At 36.7% G+C, this 5695-nt stretch overlaps 1 annotated feature.

Annotated features, from left to right (window-relative positions):
- Positions 4857-5358: an enhancer, noted in NCBI's record as "H3K27ac hESC enhancer chr3:161425075-161425576 (GRCh37/hg19 assembly coordinates)". NCBI's record gives its function as "activates a minimal SCP1, AML or CMV promoter by ChIP-STARR-seq in naive H9 embryonic stem cells {active_cell/tissue: H9 hESC(naive)}" and the evidence as "EXISTENCE:reporter gene assay evidence [ECO:0000049][PMID:30033119]".

Here is a 5695-nt window from a genome sequence, read left to right on the forward strand (position 1 = left end):
ATGTAATACATCAAATCAACAGAATGAAAGATAAAAACTATATGATCATTGCAGTTGATGCTGAACAAGCATTTGATAGAAGTCAACATCACTTCATGATAAAAACCCTAAAAAAAACTGGGGATAGAAGGGACATAACTCAACATAAAAAAAAAGCCATAAATGACAGACCCTCAGCTAGTGCCATGCTGAATGAGGTAAAACTGAAAGCCTTTCCTGTAAGATCTGGAACATGACAAGGATGCCCACTTTCACCACTGTTATTCAACATAGTCCTGGAAGTCCTAGATAGAGCAATAAGACAAGAGAAAGAAATAAAAGACATCCAAACAGGAAAAGAAGAAGTCAAATAATCCTTGTTTGGAGATAATATGGTCTTACATTAGGAAAAATCTAAAGACTCCACAAGAAAACTCTTAGAACTGATAAAACAAATTTAATGAAGTTGCAGAATACAAAATCAACGTACAAAAATTAGTAGCATTTTTATATGCCAAGAGTGAACAATCTGAAAAAGAAATCAAAATGGTATTCTCATTTACAACAGCCACAAATAAAATAAAATCCCTAGGAATTAACCAAAGAAGTGAAAGATCTCTATAATGAAAACTATAAAACACTGATGAAAGAAATTGGAGAGGACACAAAAAATGGGAAAATATTTCATGTTCATGAATTAGAAGAATCAATACTGTTAAAAATGTTATATTACCCAAAGCAATCTACAGATTTCATGCAATCCCTGTCAAAATACCAGTGGCACGCTTCACAAAAATAGAAAAAAACAACTAAAATTTATATAAAACCACAAAAGACCCAGAATAGGCAAAGCTGTCCTAAGTAAAAAGAACAAAACTGGAGTAATCACATTATCTGACTTTATATTATGCTACAGAGGTATAGTAACCCATGAGCATGGTGCTGGCATAAAAACTGACACATAGGCCAAAGGAACAAAATAGAGAACCCATAAACCAATTGAAACACCTACAGTGAACTCATTTTTGATAAAGGTGCCAAGAATATACATGTGGGGAAAGAGTCTTTTCAATAAATGATGCTAGGAAAACTGGATATCCATATGCAAAAGAATGAAACTAGACCCCTTTCTCTTCCCATATACAAATATCAAATCAAAATGGGTGAAATATTTAAATTTAAGACCTCAAACTATGAAATCACTACAAGAAAACATTGGGGAAAATCTCCAGGACATTTGTCTGGGCAAAATTTTTTTGGTCAGTACCCCACAAGCACAGGCAACCAAAGTAAAAATGGACAAATGGGATCACATCAAGTTAAAAAGCTTCTGCACAGCAAAGGACAAAATCAACAAAGTAAAGAGACAACCTACAGAATGGGAGAAAATATTTTCCTATTACCCACTTGACAAGGGATTAATAACCAGCATATATATGTGTGTGTGTATATATACATATGTGTATACACATATGTATACACATACATATGTGTATACACACGTATGTGTATACACATATGTATACACATACATATGTGTATACACACGTATGTGTATACATATACGTATGTATATGTATATATGTGTATACATATATATGTGTGTATATGTATATGTATATACACATATATACACACACACATATATACACACACACATATATATATATACACACACACACACACATATATATATAGAGAGAGAGCTCAAACAACTCTATAGGAAAAAATCTATTAATCTGATAAAAAAATGGCAAAACATTTAAATAGACATTTCTCAGTTGACAATGAATAGACATTTCTCAAAAGATGACATACAAATGGCACACAGGCATATAAAAAGGTGCACAACATCACTGATCATCAGGAAAATGCAAATCAAAACTACAATGAGATATCATCTCACTCCAGTTAAAATGGCTTTAATCCAAAAGACAGGCAATAACAAATGCTGACAAGAATGCAGACAAAAGGGAAGCCTTATACACTGTTGGTGGGAATGTAAATTAGTACAAGTGCTATGGAGAACAGTTTGGAAGTTTTTCAAAAAATTGAAAAGTAGAGCTACCATGTGATCCAGCAATCCCACTGCTGGGTAGGTATATAACCAAAAGAAAGAAGAGCAATACATCAAAGAGATATCTGCATTCCTATGTCTGTTGCAGCACTGTTCACAATAGTTAAGATTTGGAAGCAATCTAAGTGTCCATCAACAGATGTTTACTTATATACAGTGGAATACTATTCAGCCAAAAAAAAGAATGTGATCCAGTCATTTGCAAAACATAGGTGGAACTGGAGATTATTATGTTAAGTGAAATAAGCCAGGTACAGAAAGGCAAAAATCACTCTACTTATTTGTGGGATCTAAAAATCAAAACAGTTGAACTCATGTGCATAGAGAGTAGAAGGATATGGTTAGCAGAGGCTCAGAAGTGTAGTTGTGAGGAAGAGGCTGGAAAATGAGAATTGTTAATGGGTACCAAAAAAAAAATAGAAAGAATGAATAAGACCCACTATTGGATAATAGAGCAGGGTGACTATAGTCAATAATAACTTAATTGTACGTGTTAAAATAACTAAAAGAGTATAACTGTATTGTTTGCAATACAAAGGATAAATGCTTGAAGGGATGGGTATCCCATTCTCCATGATGTGATTATTATGCATTGCGTTCCTGGATAAAACATCACATGTACTCCATAAATATGTTCACCTTCTATGTACCCACAAAAATTTATAATTAAAAAATTGAAATAGTAGAAAAGTCATAAATGAAAACCAAAAAGATCATTCCTATTCACACTTAATCAAGCTTCACATTCCAGAAGTAATGATTTTCAATAATTTATGTTTTTGCTTTTTCAAAGTTATCTTAGAAGCTCTAAAATTATATGCTAATTCTTTAATTTGATATTTTTATATCAGAGTTTTTTTTATTAAATAACATTCTATGTTTCTTCCATTTGTTGAGATTTTTTTAATATATTTGAATTAAATTTATAATTCTTTTAATATAAATCCTGTCCCTTAATTATTAAATATATTCCTAAGTATTTTATGATTTTTGATGATGTAAAGAATGGAATGTTTTTCTCATTTCCACATATATGTATTAATGTAGGAAAGGCAGAAAGTTAAGTATTTATATGTTTTCAACTTGAACTACCCATCTTGCTGAATGTCCTCATAATTTGGTAGGTTTTTTCTTACTGTAATTTTTGAGATTTTCTAAATACAGTTATATCGTCACCAAAACATTCTATTTTTTTCTAATGCTGATATTGATTGTCTAATTTTTAAAATTGCATTTGCTATAACTTCAAAACCAATGCTGAATAATTACGATGATGGAGGACATTATGCCTTTTTGTGATTATAATGAAACTGTTTTACCACTTAGGATAAAGTTTGCTGTTGTATTTTAGTAAATCGCGAAGTAATTTCTTTTTATTGCAATTTGTCTTAAACTTGATTAGCTGATTAATTTTATCAAATGCCATTATAGCATCTGGTAATAAAATCATTTTATTTTTTATTCAATGTGTAAGATAATGAATTACATAGATAAATTTTCTCATTTTGAACAATTTATTCATTTCTAGAGTAAACGATAATCTGACTCTTTGTTCAGATTTTTGTGTTTTCTGCATTGTATCTCTCTGCTCTCTCTTCTCCAACAATCAACACTCTCCCTGCCTTATTCTTGACTTAGAGTATTTCCAAGGCCTGCTTCTGGATTCTTGTTTTCTAGCCCTATGCTTAATTCATCTTTATTTACTTCTTTTCTTTATCTATCATTCTTACTAATGATGTAATTCCTATTAGACTTAGAGATGTAATGGAGGCAGATTAGGGGTGCAAGGGAGATGGATATAAGTGCTCTTTCTGCCATCTGGAATCAGAGTTGTGTTGCTAGATTTGACTCCAGATCTTAGTCTGAAACATGCTCTAGGCCTATACACTATGCTGCTTCTTTAATATTAGAACTAGAGCTCTAACAGTGGTAATATATGTATGTGGCAAGGAAGACTGAAAACAAAAGTGTGATTACTGTGGAAAATTAAAAGATTGATAACATAAGTTTAAAAAAGAAGTAGCAGAGAAAGTCTGGAATTTACTGTCATCACTGCAGCAGTGACTGGTGTCAGAAGTGGGCATGATGGTTGAGACTTAACTCTCTTCTAAACATTGGGAAATCTGGATCTCTTGTAAGGCATTCTCCATGTATTTATTTAGACTAAGAATGAACTTTATATCCTTGTTGATAAAAACCAAATTATTTATGCAAGAACATAATGAGCATGCTAATTCCAACACTTCCAATGTGTGAAAGTGAGTCTGTGTGTGATACATAGGCTTAAAAAAGGCTGTGTAGATTCCTGGGCGAGATGACTGAATAGGAATAGCTCTAGTCTGTAGCTCCCAGTGAGACCAACAAAGAAGGCAGGTGATTTCTGCATTTCCAACTGAAGTACCCAGTTCATCTCACTGGGGCTGGTTAGACAATGGGTGCAGCCCACAGAGGGTGGACAGAAGCAGGGTGGGGTGTTGCCTCAGCCAGGAAGTGCAAGGGGTTGGGGAACTCCCTCCTCTAGCCAAGGGAAGCCATGAGGGACTGTGCTATGAGGGATGGTGCTATCTGGCCCAGATACTATGCTTTTCCCATGGTCTTTGCAACCTGCAGACCAGGAGATTCCTTTGGGTGCCTACACTACAAGGTTCCTGGGTTTTAAGCACAAAACGGGTGGCCATTTGGGCAGACACTGAGCTAGCTGCAGGATTTATTTTTTTGTACCCCAGTGGTGCATGAAAGACCAGCAAGACAGAACCATTCACTCCCCTGGGAAGGGGGCTGAAGCCAGGGAACCAAGGGGTCTTGCTCAGCAGATCCCATCCCCATGGAGCCCAGAAAGCTAAGTGGGCTTGAAATTCTCGCTGCTAGTACAGCAGTCTGAAGTCGACCTTTGACTCTTGAGCTTGGTGGGGGAAGGGGCATCCACCATTACTGAGGCTTGAGTAGGGGATTTTCCCCTCACTGTGTAAACAAAGCCACCAGGAAGTTCAGACTGGGCGGAGCCCTCTGCAGCACCACGAAGCCAGATTGCCTCGCTAGATTCCTCCTCTATGGGCAGGGGATCTCTGAAAGAAAGGCAGCAGCCCCAGTCAGGGGCTTATAGATAAAACTCCCATCTCCCTGGGACAGAGCACCTGGAGGAAGGGGTGGCTGTGGATGCAGCTTCAGCGACTTAAATGTTTCTGCCTGCTGGCTCTGAAGAGAGCAGCAGATCTCCCAGCACAGCGCTTGAGCTCTGCTGAGGGACAGACTACCTTTTCAAGTGGGTCTCTGACCCCCATGCCTCCTGATGGGGAGACATCTCCCAGCAGGGTTCAACAGACACCTCATACAGGAGAGCTCCAGCTAGCATCTGGCAGATGCCCCTCTGGGGAGAAGCTTCCAGAGGAAGGAGCAGGCAACAGTCTTTGCTGTTCTCAGCTTCCACTGGTGATATCCAGGTAAACAGGGTCTGGAGTGGACCCCCAGCAAACCCCAGCAGACCTGCAGAAGAGGGTCCTGACTGTTAGAAGGAAAACTAACAAACAGAAAGCAATAGCATCAACATCAATAAAAAGGATGACCATGCAAAAACTCCATCTGACTGTCACCAACAGCAAAGACCAAAGGTAGATAAATCCACAAAGAAGAGCACAAAAA

This window comes from Homo sapiens, chromosome 3 (assembly GCF_000001405.40).
Source record: "Homo sapiens chromosome 3, GRCh38.p14 Primary Assembly".
In the NCBI taxonomy this organism is placed as follows: Eukaryota; Metazoa; Chordata; class Mammalia; order Primates; family Hominidae; genus Homo; species Homo sapiens.